The following is a 15,932-nucleotide window of genomic DNA, read 5'->3' on the forward strand; positions in this document are numbered from 1 at the left end:
AAGGAGAAAATGGGGGAGAATGGGCAGGGAGAGATGAACCTCACACCTAGAGAGAAGAGGCTGAGGCAGCAAAGTTTTGTGCTGGTCTCAGCTTGGAGACATAGGTGCTAGAGGGGAGACAGCTAGGCTCTTTTATTTTATGTAATAGGAAACTCAGCTCATCCCAGCTTGAACTCAGAAGGGAGTTAATGGTTTTATGCCACTGAAAAGCTCAGGGATGCATGGCGGGGCCTTGTTGCAGGGGCTCAAATGATGAATCCCATCAGTGCCTCCTCCATATTTTAAAAAATCTCTTCCTCATGTGAGGCCATGTTCAGATCCCCCTTCTTGGTGGCCAGATGATTTCCATCCAGACTGGAGTCCAGCAGAGAAGAAAGACCTTTTCTTCCCAATAGTTGATCAAAGGTCCTAGCTGATTCCCCTTGGTTACACACTCAACCCCGAACCAGTCTGGATGGCCAGAGAGGGGGAATATGGTGGTTGGCTTGATCCAATCAGGGATCATCCTGGAATTGGGAGGTAGGATTAACCCTGCTTAGGTTCAGGGATGGGCTGAGAGTAGGAGGGGGGAAATTCTGGGCACAGCTTTCCCAGTAAAAGGGTCCAAGGGTACTGGGTGGCAAAAGCTCACAAATATCCTCTTCTGGGCTTAGGATGAAGGTCATGAAAAGCAAATGTTTTAAACAAAACCAAGAAGGAGAGGGGAAGAAAATCCTAACATCCATGAAGCATGACTGATTTCATTTCATCTTCCCAATCATCCAATAAGATTGCAACTACTATTGTCCTAAATCTAGAATCCTATATTTTAGTGCTGGAAGGACCTTCAAAAGCACCTGATCTGATACCTTCATGCTTATAAATAACAGAAGAAAAATGCAGAGAGGTTAAATGACCATCTCAAGGCCACACAGGTGAAATACCCAGGTCTTCCTAGAGAAAGCTCATCTCAGTAAGCATCCACCTGCTCAGAGCTGCTGTAGAATTACAGTGAACTCTCGGCAAGAAGAGCCTCTCTGTTGCTCAAATCAAGCAGGGCAGCCCGTGGGCCAGAGTCCACTTTGACCTAGGCTTGGGGGAAAGGGGGTCCCTCACCATCTCTCTGGCCCCTCCTACCTCCTCCCCTGCAATGAGCAGCTCCTATCTTAGGAGATGCATCCCGCTGGACCCAGCCAGAGACCTCTCTCTGAGGATCTTGTGACTCTTCACACCTCACACTCCTGATTGCACAGATGATCCCAACCTCTGCCACTCCTACTTCACCTCCCTGTGGGTCTGTGAAGTTAGGAAAGTTAATTCCAAGAGTATGAGAAATGATGAAGCTCTTCACAGTCATCTAGTCAAAACCTTGTATTTTACAAGGGGGAAGACTGTGGCCCAGAAGGAAAGTTCATTCCAAGACAGGCAGAGTACTCCAGGTGGAAGGCCTCCTGGCTCCCACTCTACTGCTCTCCCACCACACCACTGGCCTTGCAGGCTGTGCCAGTCCTGAGCTGGAACTCTCATGGCCCTTGGTGGAGACCATCAACTACTCTGATGCCTACTTACACAATGACAACCTCTCCCCCTTGAACAGTGTTGCCCTTTGCAAGGTGTATACACTCTCCTGTTTACACATGAGACAACTGAGGGAGTCACATCAGAGATCAGGACCAACCCCCTGCATTCCAGGACCGAAGCTTTCAAAGAATTTGTGTCACTTTATCCTCTTTTGATTGCTGATAGGCTGGCATCACTGGGACTGTTGCCTTCGTTATGGATGAGGGAATTGGGCTAAGAGAGGCCCAGCCACCTGGGCTCCAACACAGAGCTGGCCAGTGGTGAAGAGGGAGTGGGCCAGGTTTCCAGGAGTCCAATCTGGTGCACTGTCTACACCCCCCAAAACCTCCATCTCCCACTGCTACTTGTATACTCAGGAATGCTGTGCCCAGAATGATGGAAACCTGGCCAACAGAGGCCTAAACAAATTAGGGATTTATTTTTCTCACTTCAAGGGACATCTGGTAGTGGCCACTAGTGAAGGCCCAGCAGCTCCAAGATGCCATCAGGGCCAGTCTCCTCCTCTATTTCCCCTTCATGTCCTCCATGTGTGTGGATGCCCTGAGGTCACAGCATGGTGGCTGCTCCTTCTCTGGGACCCAAGTCCCCTGTCAGGATGGGCAATGGCTGTTCTAGTGGAGTCCTGCAGGCTTTCCCAGAATGCCCTGCAGCAACCTCTGCCCCTCTCTCATTGGCCGGAGCTGTGTCACATGACTTTCCAAGAATGGGACCGGGAATGCAGTGTTTTCCCATCTCATTGGCTGGAGCTGTGTCATATGACTACTGCAGAGGGAAATTGAATGTTTTTAAGTAAGGGAAATTGTCCCTGATAAAACAGGGGTTTTGTTAGTAAGAAACCAGAGGAAAATAAATGCCAGTGGACAGGCAACCTGCTGTCTCCGCATCAACACTTGCTGTCTTCTTTTCACATTCGTTACCTCATTGGATCTACATGCGAGCTCATTGGCTGTGGTGAACAGGCAGTGAAAGGCTGAGTGCCTGCCGGGGGCCCCAAAGGCAGGTGCTGGCTGAGCCAGGCTAGCCCCAGAGCACCCAACAGCTTCCCCACATCGGTGCCCCTGCTCCCTTTGTCTGCCTCTCTCTTCTCTCTGTCCCACTTCTCTGCCTCTCTAGTTCCCCAGAGCAGTCTGGGTCAGCTAGGACTTTTGATCCTGGAGAGGAGGGGTCAATGGTTCATCAGTTATGTTTATGACACCATGTTCAGCTTGAACTACTTTTAACAACAAGTCTGCTATCAAAAGTCCAAACCCAAACCAACCTCCCCCTACCCCTAGCATCACATCCCTCTCTCACATCCTTCTGGTGGGTTGTTCATTAGGGAAACCTTAGTGGAGGACATTTGGGCAGCATCTATCAAAATTCAAAATGCTGGGATCCTTTATTTCATCAATTTAACTTTTAGTAGTTGATTTTTCTGAAATATTCATGAATATAAAGTTATATAAGGACCGCCACTACAATGTTACTTGCAATTGCAAGATTGGACACATCTAAATATCCATCGGTAGATGGCAAATTATGATTATCTAAACTATGGAACATCCATACTACTTTATACTAAGCAGCCATTAAAATGATTGAGTTTGGCCTCTATGACCTGACTTGGGAGAATGTCCCTGGTAGGTATTTAAGTAAAGCAGGTTGCTGGAGAATGTGAACAGTATGATAAAGATTACAATAATATTGGTTTATACCTAGATAAATATCTAGAAAGATGTGCACCTGTACTGGTTGATTCTCAGGAAAATTCCTAATGGGTTGAGATGCTCTGACCACATGAATTCTCCATCTTCTTATCCCAGACCATTTGTTTCCGAAATCCCTTCCCCTCTCACCTCATCATCAATGTTCCCTTCTCCCCTGGATCATTTCCATTAGTGTATGAACATACCGCTGATTCTCTAATCCTCCAAATAAAAACAAGTCAATACCGAATCTCTCCTGTTACTTTTGCTTTCTCTTGCAGTAAAACGAAATTGTCATCATACTTGCTATCTCCAATTTCTCTCCTCCCAATGTCTTTTTACTCCACTCTACCCAGATTTCACCCCTCACACTCTGCTACAAATGCTCTTGGCAAGGTCACTAACAACCTCAGCATTGGGTTAATGGTCAACTTTCAATGGCACTTGGCCTATTGGTATTTGGCATAGTTGCTCATTCCTCCCCTCTGAAACTCTCTCTCCCCTCAGCACCTGGAACTCCACAGTCTCTTGGTTTTTCTTCTACCTCCTTGTTGCTCCTCCTCCATTTTCTTTGCTAATTCATCCTTGGCTCCTAGCCTTGTAAACCTTGTGCTATCCCAGGGGTCCACCCTTGGTCTTCTTATCTTCACTTACTCTCTTGGGGATGTCACCAGATCCTGGGTCTTTACATTTTGTTCATATACTCATGGCTCCCAAATTTACATCTCAGCCTTATCTCTCCCTAATTTCAAGCCTTTTACATCCAACTGCTCCTGCTCCCTCCCTTCCACCCTTCTTTCCCCCTTCCTTTTTTGCTTTCTTCTGTCTGCTTTATTGCTTCCTTCCTCTCTCTTCCTTCCTTCCTCCATTGCTCACTCCCTTTCTTCTCACAAAAGTAACATATTAATCACCCTTATAATTTTCTCTCTGACACACACACACACACACACACGTCTGAGTGTGAAACAACCTTATAAGTAAGAACTATTTACAAAATGAAGCAATTCCACACTTTACAAAAAGATTTGCCAAAGCCTTCCTTGAAATGCTGCACTCTCTAGGGGCCTACAAAAATGATTTTGATTTATAAACACATTTCTTTTATGCTCTGTGAAAGTTGATTATATGAATTGGGCCATTCTAGTCATACCCAACTAAATCAGAGTCAAGAGGCCAGGGAAAGAAGCACTCAGGGCACATAGCACTAGCTCCAAGAATTGAATTTCCCTCAAGCCTAGCTAGTGAAGCAGATTGCTGTAACCCTAAGATTGGTTTTATGCAGTAACTGCTGAATTGACCTGCTGGGACTCTAAGACTACTTTTACTTACAGCCGTCACTCATCAATCAGAGCTTGTAAGCTACCAAAAGCTTTTCTAGTGTCAATGAGCTTTCTTTCAAAACAGTAAGTAACATTTCTCTTTCTAATAAAACTCCCAAACTTCTCTGTTTTTTAGACATACTGAAGACCACCCTGGTCTGTGTGTATGCCCCAAATTGCAATTCTGTGATTTTCAAATAAAACATTTAGGCCGGGTGCGGTGGCTCGTGCTTGTAATACCAGCACTTTGGGAGGCCGAGGCAGGCGGATCGCTTGAGGTCACGAGTTTGAGACCAGCCTGGCCAACATGGTGAAGCCCTGTTTTAGTAGACTAAAAATACAAAAAACAGCCAGGCATGGTGGTGCATGCCTGTAATCCCAGCTACTCAGGAGGCTGAGGTGGGAGAATTGCTTGAGCCCAGGAGGCAGAGGTTGTGGAGAGCCAAGATAGTGCCACTGCACTCCAGCCTGGGTGACAGCAAGACTCTATAGCAAAGAAACAAACAAACAAAAGAGCAAACAAAAAACCCCAAAGTTTAATATAGAGATTTGTCTATATTTTATTTTGACTTTGACATATTGGATGTCAGGAGTGGGTTTCAAAGCAGACTTACCTTGGAGACATCAATGGCCCCTGGAACTATGGCATGAGGTATCCATACTCGGGCCCCTTGAGCCCCTTTTCTTCCATGGGTCACCTGTTTACCCCTTGATTAGTCTTTCTCAGATCAGACTTCCATTTTCTTTTGGCTGAATTTGGTTTTATTTTGGAATTGGTTAGGAACGGTCTTCCTCCTCCTGGTTGTGAGGCCTGGTTAAAGGGATTTTTTTCTCCCATTGAAGATAGCTTATCATCCTTCTTGGTAATTACTTACCTTATTTTCCAATTCATCTGGATGCTTAGATTTAGTTTGTCATTTGTGTATTCACCATTAAACTGAATCACTTAGATACATTTATTTACAAATGGGCTCTCAAAGTTCAAAGGCATGCCAAGAGTGTTTCCTACTTCTGGGACTCTTGATGGTGGGTGACATGTTCAAACATTATAGGGATCATTCAAACAGTCTGTTTTTCTGAAAACTGAGCTAAAAGGTTGTAGCTATAAAATCATACAGTCTAGACAGGATGCATATCTCAATTGGTATGTCCAGACTACAAAACACATTTAGGACTCAAAGATTGCCTTACTGAAAAATACTGTTTCAATTCTAGCTGAGACTTTTCTCTTTCCAAAGTCTTTCCCTCTCCATTCTACATCTCTTCCTCTTTATCTTTCTCTAAGCTAAACTCTCTTTTTTCAAAAACTCCTCAACTATTCTGACATACTGTTTATTTAAATAAAGACACATTAAAACCAGTAGACACAAAAGAAAATCACTTTGACCTCTGTGCTGTTTCTTAAAAGCAAAAGATGAAATTCCCATGTAAAGGAAATCTCTCTGTAGTAAAAGGAAGGGCAACACTCTTATTATCAAGGATGAGGAATTGAGACCAAGAGAACACTCTACAGATCTTGTTATAATAACTCTCATCTTTTGGGCTTCCTTGCATAATTCAGTCACATTTTCACAGTTAACTATTCTTTGTCCAATCCAGTATATTGGTAAATGACTCAAATTGCTTTAATTAAAATTTGGTTCAAAGCCTTTATAAGATTGCTTATTAGGAAAAAGATCTTAGTTTAGCCTTAATTCATTTTGTCAGAAATATAATTTAGATTCAACTGTCTTTTATAAACTGGTGAGTTTTGTGTGTTTTTCTGTCTCATGACTAAAATTCTAAAATGAAAGCTGTAAAATTTTTGCATGTATGTATTAATATATGTTTAGGTGTGCTTGTGTATATGTACATGTATTATATGTGTGTCTACATGGTAAAATCTGGCATAGTTGGCCAGAAATCTTTTAAAGAATTCTATTCAGATTGGCTTAAATAAATGAGTGCTCATATAAAATATATAGTAATTAACTCAAATGCCTTTTAGTGTCCTTCTGAGAGGGAGATGATTGGTGGAGACTTCTCTTCCATCATCTTGCTCCACCCCCTTAAAGTACCCATATATTTAACTTTAAGGTTCTTACTTAGGTGAATATCAGATATTCGTAGGCTGTGAAAATGGTTAATAGAAAAATAGCTTGAAATAATGAGTAGCTTTGTCTAATATCTCAGTTCTAATAAGTAGTCTGAGTAAATTATTAAAAATAAATTAAGTCAATGTAAATGAGATAAATGTTTATAAACAGACTTTTTATGTACTTTGAAATCTTAAAGTTATGTTAAATAATAGGTACTTATTAAGTGGGTCATTTCTAAAAATAAGATTAAAAATGGAAACAAATTGCTGAACATAGATCTGTTCTTGGTTTCTTAAATTTCATAAAAAGACTAAATATAGTTGGGTGTATTAATACATATAAAATTATAAGAAAAACATAAAATGTGTTTTTTATTAAAAAGAAAAATATTTTGTCTAATTTGGGGGTTATTTAAATATGTATTTAACAAATAAAATTAAGATATAAAGTAAATCATAAGTAGGAGAGAGAGATATAAAGAAAGTTATAGATTTAAAGATATATTTTTAGGTTAAAAATTAAAATAACTTTGTATAAAAACATTTTTTGATACATTTTTGTCCTAAAATAAAATGACTGGTTTTTTAGAAAAAGTGTAAGACAAAGAAGAAAGTCTAAGCATGTCATCAAAGGTCTGAGTAAGTCATGATAAAGCTTCTAAAGGATAAATTTATAAGATGAATTATGTGTGTTATCACAATGGCTATAATTAAAAGGGAGTTATTTATAAATCTTCCTAAAGATTGAGTTTTGATATTTAAAATAAATTGATATAAAACTAAAAATATGGTCCCCTATGTTTACACAACAAGATGTTCTTAAAAGATTGACCTGCTTTTAGCAAAATGTAAAGAGGTTTTGATTTTTTTTTTCTTTTGAGACGGAGTTTCACTCTTGTTGCCCAGGCTGGAGTGCAATGGCGTGCTCTCGGCTCACTGCAACCTCCACTTCCCAGGTTCAAGCGATTCTCCTGCCTCAGCCTCCCAAGCTGGAATTACAGTTGCCCACCACCATGCCCAGCTAATTTTGTATTTTTAGTAGAGATGAGGTTTCACTATGTTGGTCAGACTGGTTTCAAACTCTTGATCTCAGGTGACCCACCCACCTCGGCCTCCCAAAGTGCTAGGATTACAGGCAGGAGCCACCACACTTGGCTTGAGGTTTTGATTTTTAATTAATTGTAGCTTTTTTCTGTTTTACAGTCTTCATTTAATTTTCCTAGTTTCACATTAAAAATGGTATCTTTTTCATTCAGAATGCAAATTTCATTTCTTGAAGGAGAGTTTTCCTCTTGAAGCTTTTTAGTTTTTTATTTCAGAAGTTCAACTTTTGCTGTATCTCACTGCATGTAATTTTCAGGTCATACATTTTTGCCTTCTGTACTTTCTTCTCTTGAGAAGGCCCGGGATAATAACTTTCCCCTTCAACTTTTTCATCAGCTCCGATCATTTTTTCTCTGGTTCTAACACTGGTGTTATGGCCTGATGCTGAAGTGTTTCTCTTAAAGGCCCAGAAAAACAATGTTTTTCTTCAGTGTAATTTAATTTTGTACTCTTGGCTTTTCTTGATGTGTCTGAATTGTTTCATAACACTGTGAAAGTTTCCATGCTGTTACTAAGAGCCATATATTCCTCTGCTTAAGGTACTAGTTTTCTTGTTTACATTCCTCTATAATATAGTGTGCACTCTTAACCTTACACACATATTCTTCCTGTGTCCCATGAAATTCAAGTACCTTTTCACCAGGTTAAACTTCCAGGTTGTCTAAATGGGCTTCCCATAAGGAGAAACAATCACACTGCAAAAGATTTTTCTTTACTGTTTCAGTAACTGGCCTGGAAAACAAAACATTTACATTTTATCAAGATAACTTTCAGTGTTATCTTTATTAGATTTTTGATCACTTAGGAAAGCTGAGGTCTGAAAGAATTAAGGTTTTAAAAATTCTTGTAACTTTCTGTATTGATTTTTAAGCCTTTTGGGTATGACTCTGATTAAATGAATGACTATTATTTCAGTGACCTGTGATCTTGTTTTGATCAAATGTTTGAGCCTTTGGGCATCTTTGACAAACTTTCCCAGAATCAAATTCTAAATTAAATCTCTTTGACCTAGAATTAACTTTGGAATTTTCCAGTTGGGCCCCTGGAGAGCTTCAAAGAATGCATCTCTCATCTCATAGATATGTTAAATGACTAGGCTTATTTGATAAATTATAAGGAAAACTTTGTCAAATGATGAGTGATGCTAGATTTTCTTTCAGTTACGTTTATGGGTATGTTATTGATATAAATTTTCCAAAATTATATACAATTCTTAGAAATCTAATATGTCATCAGTCATAAATCTAGATATTGTGTTGTATGCCACAAAATAACTAAATTTTCTTGTCAATTTCTAATTACAATGAACTTCTATCAGATTTTTAACCATGACAATTCTAAGTTTTTGTCATCTGTAGTTTATCATTTTAAATTCCTCTCTAAAGGCATTTACAATAAGATTTATGGAAGACTGTAACAAATACTCTTAAAATACAAGTTTATAATACCTTTAAGATCAATGGACTAAATGAAATGTTTTTCAAAGCTCTAATAAAAAACTGATGGGTGCATACAACTACTAATCAAGATCAAGCAGAACAAAAATTAGCTACGTGAGATTGATAAATATAATGTTTTTATGACTTTTATTTAAAACATTATTGGTTCTTTACTGAATTATTCTGTTTTCTAGACTTAAAAAATTTTCTCTCTTAAGCTAACTATAGTTTACAGCAATTTGGTAAAGTATACTTTTGTAAACAAGTTGGAAACATTTGCTTTTTATCTCTACTGGATTCCTTCAGAATTTAGAATCTATTCATGAGTATTCTTATGGCAGTATGGTTATTTACACAAGTCCAGTAAAAATCTGCTCTCTCTTTATAGTAGGATACAATTGAAGACATTAGTTATATTGCCAAGGCTTTGACTGAAATGTCATATTTTAAAATATGCGTGTAATGCCTGACTTCAAGAGTTGTCAGCCTTACAGTGAGTAAATAAGAATCGTCACTTCCTGGCATGCCCAGGAACCTTAAGACTATAGGTGAAATATAGAGTCTGCCTTGGTTTAGCTTGCTAGACTCAAGTGATTTTTAAAATCTGAGATTCCTTTGTAATCAACATATAGAGAAAAAATTGTATTTCTCAAGAAAAGCTATAATATATATCAGTTATTAGCTTGTAGCTCTGTGTACTGTTTTCAAGTCTTCATTATGTAACTGTGGACTTGACTAAATTCTGAGTTTTTCTAGATTCCTCCAACCCAACTTTCTTCCATAAAATGATTAAAAACAGGAACTACTTTGTTCCTGAAGCCTTGTAAGCTACAACTAAAAAAATTTTTTTTTTTTTTTTGAGACAGAGTCTTGCTCTGTCACCCAGGCTGGAATGCAGTGGTGAGATCTCGGCTCACTGCAACTTCTGCCTCCCGAGTTCAAGCGATTCTCCTACCTCAGCCTCCAAAGTAGCTGGGATTACAGGCACGTGCCACCATGCTGGGCTAATTTTTGTATTTTGTTTTTAGTAGAGACAGGGTTTCGCCATGTTGGCCAGGCTGGTCTTGAGCTCCTGACCTCAGGTGATCCACCTGCCTCTGCCTCCCAACGTGCTGGGAATAGAGGCTTGAGCCACTGAACCTGGCCTAAACTAAATTTTAAGGAACAAGTCTTGTGCTTGATGTATGGACCACATAAAGAAATTCACTAAACCACCCAGTGCCATAACGAGAGACATTCAAACTGTAAACCAACATAGGAAGTTGATATTTTCATACTGTAGACAGCTTTTCCCAAGGTGGTGGGACACGACTTCATATTATAATGAGACTGTCTCTTTTTTTTTGAGACGCAGTCTTGCTTTGTCACTAGGCTGGAGTGCAGTGGTGTGGTCTCAGCTCACTGCAACCCCTGCCTCCTGGGTTCAAGTGATTCTCCTGTCTCAGCCTCCTGAGTAGCTGGGATTATAGGCATGTGCCACCACACCCAGCTAATTTTTGTGTTTTTAGTAGAGACAGGGTTTCACCATGTTGGCCAGGCTGATCTTGAACTCCTGACTTCGTGATCTGCCTGCCTCGGCCTCCCAAAGTGCTGGGATTACAGGCATGAGCCACCGTGCCTGGCCTATAATGAGACTCTCAACTCCTCTTAATGCCTACCTTTTTCTCTAGACAGAACCTGACACCCCCAACACCCTGCTGCAAATCCTTTAATCTATCTAGTGGGTAATTTTGACAGTATGTCTAACACAACTTATTATTAAAATTGTGCTAGTAGTTGCTCTTATAGAGTTGGCAATCCCTGCTTTAATTCAACGCAGTCATAAAATGAAACTCAACTACAACAGGTCTCATTCAGTTCCCTCATAGTCTTTTGATTTGCTTAGTTAGTTTCCCTTAGCCTTGGGCTCTTGGTTCAAAACCCTTATACAAACTAAATGTATTACATTGTCGCTAATTATTTTTTTCATATCACAATCCTTAAGCTTTGTTCTTGTTGCCTGTTTAATCTTTGTAAAGCCAGTTCTCCCAATAGGATAATGTTAGCCCAATGCTTTAAAATGATTGCTAATACCCATGGGACTAATATAAGGAAACTCAATACTGGACCCCAGACAAGCCTGCCCTGAGAAAATTTTTCCTTCTGGACTTTTTGTTCCTCAAATATAGCCTAGGTCCCTGACATAGATTCCTGTACCTTCTCCCCGTTGTGGGACAGAAACTGGGATAGGACCATTCCAGTACAGTGGGACAATGAAGCTTGACTTCAAGATGCTTCAGTGATGCTTCCAAATAAATATCTTGATAAAAGAGGGAAATATGAAAGCTGATTATACAAATTTTTGTCATATCCAGCTACATCAGAGTCAGGAGGCCGGGGGAATAAAACACTTGGGGCACATAGCTCCAATTCCCAAAAAATTGAATTTTCTGCAAGCCCAGCTGCTGAAACAAACTACTGTAACCCTTAGACCAGTTTTATATAGTAACTGCTGAAATGACCTTCTGTGACTCTAAGATTTGTTTTACCTACCACCATCAGTCACCAATCAGAGCTTGACAGCTCCCAAAAGTTTCTCTAGTGCCAATGAGCTTTCTTTCAAAACAATACATAACATTTCTTTTATTTATTTATTTAGAGATGGAGTTTTGCTCTTGTTGCCCGGGCTGGAATGCAGTGGCATGATCTTGGCTCACTGCAACCTCCGCCCTTCCAGTTTCAAGAGATTCTCCTGCCTCAGCCTCCCGAGCAGTTGGGATTACAGGCGCCCGCGACCACACCCAGCTAAATTTTGTATTTTTAATAGGGACGAGGTTTCACCATGTTGGCCAGGCTGGTCTCAAACTCCTGACCTCATGATCTGCCCGCCTTGGCCTCCCAAAGTGCTGGGATTAGAGGCGTGAGCCACCACGCCTGGCCTCTTTTATTTTTTTGAGACAGGGTCTGGCTCTGTCAGCCAAGCTGGAGTGCAGTGGTGTGATCATGGGTCACTGCAACCCCTGCCTCCCGGGCTCAAGCAATCCTCCTGCCTCAGCCTCCTGAGTAGCTGGGACTACATGGGAGCCCCACCACACCCAGCTAATTTTTATATTTTTGTACAGACAGGGTTTCATCATGTTGCCCGGGCTGGTCTCAAACTCCTGGGCTCAAGTGGTCCGCCTGCCTTGGCCTCCCAAGGCAGGTGTGAGCTGCTGTGCCTGGCACATTTCTCTTTCTAATAAAACCTTCCACCTTCTCTTTCTTCTTTGGATGTACCACTCCAGTATGTGTGTATACCGCAAATGGCAATTCTGTGATTCCCAAATGAAATGCTTAATTTAGAGATTCGTCCTTATATTTTATTTTGACTTTAGCACTCCAGTGCAACTGCAAAAAATGTGCTCATTTTCTGTTTCAAGTTTTGTCCAATTCAACCAGTATCTTCACGTTACTACTAAAATCAGACACTGTGCTTGGCACTGTGGCACTGTGGGGGAGCAAAGATGATTAAGATATGCGTTCAGGCTGGGCGCTGGCTCATGCCTGTAGTCCCAGCACTTTGAGAGGCCAAGATGGGTGGATCACGAGGTCAGGAGTTTGAGACCAGCCAGGCCAACGTGGTGAAGCTCTGTCTCTACTAAAAAAATACAAAAAATTAGCCAGGTGTGGTGGTGGGCACCTGTAATCCCAGCTACTCGGGAGGCTGAGGCAGGAGAATCGCTTGAACCTGGGAGGCAGAGGTTGCAGTGAGCTAAGATGGCGCCATTGCACTCCAGCCTAGGCAACAAGTACGAAACGCCATCTCAAAAAAAAAAAAAAAAAAAAAAAAAAGATATGTGTTCAAAAGGAAACTGACCCTGTCAGCTCTCTCAGTGAGGAAGCTTTTAAGAAGAACTTACCTGGGGAGCTGATGCCACAGGCAATTTGGCAAGGCTAAGCATAAGCAAATCGAACCAGCAGTTCAGAATGAAGAGTTGCTCCTCGGCTCCCAGGCTGGAGGGGTAGCCAGAAGGGGCTCGACTATAGACAGAAGGGTAGCTGAGAGATGGGAGAGGGAATAGCTAGGCTACCAACTTCTATTATTACTGGACATATTCCACCAAAGAGCAGCTTTTTGAAAAACATTGGGTAACATATTGACAGGATGGTTTTTGAAGCTACCATGAAAAATCCATTAATGAAAACAAGTCCCAGGTACACCCAGAGAAGGCAGATGAGGAGTAAGCAGCACCTTTTTAGAGTTTTCAGGAACCCCACTAGGCACACACCCTGCCCTATTTCACCCTCAAGTTGTCCTTTTTATTTTAGAACCTGCTTATACCTCTATTGTTTGGGGATTGTGAATCCCTGTGGCCATGTTGCAGTGATAGCTTTCCTTTTATTTGTTTGTTTTCCTGCAAAATGATGGGTTTTGGTAGATGAGCTTTGAGTGCAGCTGAGATGGGTGAGAGTGAAGAGTCAGGAACCATTGGTCATGGAGGAGGGAACTTTATCACTTTGGTACAAAGGCCCAGTGAGGCCAGAGCCCAGGGTGGAGACAGGGATTATGCTGAGAGATGACCCAGAGAGATGGGCAGAGGCTGAGCCATATGAGATTTGAAAGGCCAAAGAACTCTGTTTTTAACTCAAGGGAAACTAGATGCTATTGAAATATCTGTACATGGAGGGATGACATGATGAGAACTGCTTTTCCAAAATCACAGTGGCTGAAGAGTGGGGAATGCACTGGAGTGAGAGTGACCAGAGAGACTGCAGGGATACCGGTTATGACACAGTCATGCAGACGAGATGATGAGCTGGATGTAGGAAAGTGGACACAGAAAAGCAGTAAAGCAGGCAGATTTAAGATATATTTAGGAGACAGTATCATCAAGACTTGGTGAGAGGCTGGATGTTGGAGGTGAGGGAGAGGGAAGTATCAGGGTGACTCCTGAGTGTCCAACTTGGGTAACTGGGTGAGTGGGTGGAGGTGCCATCCACAGACACAGTGACAACAGAGGACCAGGTATAGAAGGGAAAACCAAATTCCATATTTGACAAGTTAAGTTTGAGGTGTCTTTGAGATGTGCAAGTGCGTGTGTTGAGGAAACTGATCTATCATCTCTGTAGCTTTGTCTTTTCCAGAATGTCATGTAAATGGGATCATAGAGGTGTAGGCTTTTCAGATAGGCCCCTTTCCCTTGACTATGTATTTAAAATGCATCCATGTTTTTGCAAGGGTTGGCGGCTCATTTATTTTTATTGCTAAATAATATCCCATTTTATGGATGTATCATAGTTTATTTACCTGTTGAGGGACATCTTGGTTGCTTGCAGTTTGGGGCAATTATGAATAAAATTGCTACAAACATTTGTATGGATGTTTTGTGGAGACATAAATTTTCAAATCAGTTGAGTAAATACCTAGGAGAATGGCTTCTGAGCCTTATAGTAAGACTATGTTTAGCTTTGTGAAAAACTGCCAACCTGTCTTCTGAAGGGGCTGTACCATTCTGCATTCCCACTGGTAATGAATGAGAGTTCCTGTTGCTCCACATCCCTGCCAGCAACGGGCATCCTCAGTTCTTTTTGGCTTTTAACTCTTCTAATAGGTGTGTAATGTTAACTCGTTGTTGTTTAAATTAGCAATTCCCTAATGACAAATTATGTTGAGCATTTTTTCAGGTGCTTAGTTGCTACCTTTTTTTGTGAAGAGTCTGTTCAGATCTTTTGCTCCTTTTTAAATTAGGTTGTTTTTTTATTATTGAATTTTAAGAGTTCTTCATATATTTTGGATACAAATCTTTTACCAGATATGTGTTTTTCAAATGTGTTCTGTCAGTCTCTGCCTTATATTTTCATTTTTAAAATGTGTCTTTCTTACAGAAGAAGCTTTTAATTTTAATAAACTCAACTTGTCAGTTTTCCCCCATGTATCATGCTTTTGGTGTTGTAACTATAAACTTATTGCAAAATCCAAGGTCATCTAGATTTCTTCCTACATTTTCTTCTAGGAATTTTATTGTTTTGCATTTTATATTTAGATTTGTCACCAATTTTGAATGAATTTATGTGAAAGATGTAAGGTCTGTGCCTAGGTTCTTTTTTTTGTTTTCTTTTGTTTTTGCATATGGAAGTCCAATTGTTTAAGCACCATTTTTAATTGCTTTTCTCCTTTGTAAAAAAACCAGTTGATTATATTTGTGTGGGTCTATTTCTGGGCTCTCTATTCTGGTCTCTTGATCTGTGTGTCTAATTTTCACTGTTTTGTTTACTGTAGCTTTATAGTTAGTCTTGATAATGGATTGTGTGAGTCCTCCAACGTTGTTCTTTTTCAGTATTGTATTGGCTATTCTAGTCAATACAATATAGAAAGGCAAATACGTATTTGCCTTTCTATATAAATTTAAAATCAGTTTGTCAATATTTATAAAATATTTTAGTAGCATTTTGATTGTTATTGCATAGAGTCTATGTATCAAGTTGGAAAAAATTGAATATTGAGTCTTTCAATCCATGAGCATGGAATATCTCTTCTATTTAGGTCATTAAAACTTTCTTTTATCAATGTTTTAGAATTTTTAAATATATAGATCCTGTACATATTTTGTTAGATTTATAGCTAAATAGTTCATTTTTCATTGCTATTATAAATGGTATTTTAAAAAATACTTAAAATTCTAATGTGTATTGATGGTATGCAGGAAAGCAACTGATTTTTGTATATTGACCTTGTATCCTGTGACCTTGATATACTTACTTATTAATTCTAGGAGATTTTTTTTTGCAG

The 15,932-nt window shown here is 40.1% G+C and overlaps 1 long non-coding RNA gene across 3 annotated transcripts in view; it reads left to right on the forward strand.

The window, feature by feature from the left end:
• The first annotated feature begins 4,428 nt into the window (after positions 1 to 4,428).
• LOC107984934 (uncharacterized) overlaps positions 4,429 to 15,932 on the forward strand; it is an 84,718-nt gene continuing 73,214 nt past the window's right edge. For all 3 annotated transcript variants that reach the window (XR_001737957.1, XR_001737958.2, XR_001737956.1), the window contains exon 1: positions 4,429 to 4,648. This is a non-coding gene — a long non-coding RNA (uncharacterized LOC107984934). The remainder of the gene's footprint in view (positions 4,649 to 15,932) is intronic.

Source organism: Homo sapiens, chromosome 1, assembly GCF_000001405.40.
Source record: "Homo sapiens chromosome 1, GRCh38.p14 Primary Assembly".
NCBI classification, from domain to species: domain Eukaryota; kingdom Metazoa; phylum Chordata; class Mammalia; order Primates; family Hominidae; genus Homo; species Homo sapiens.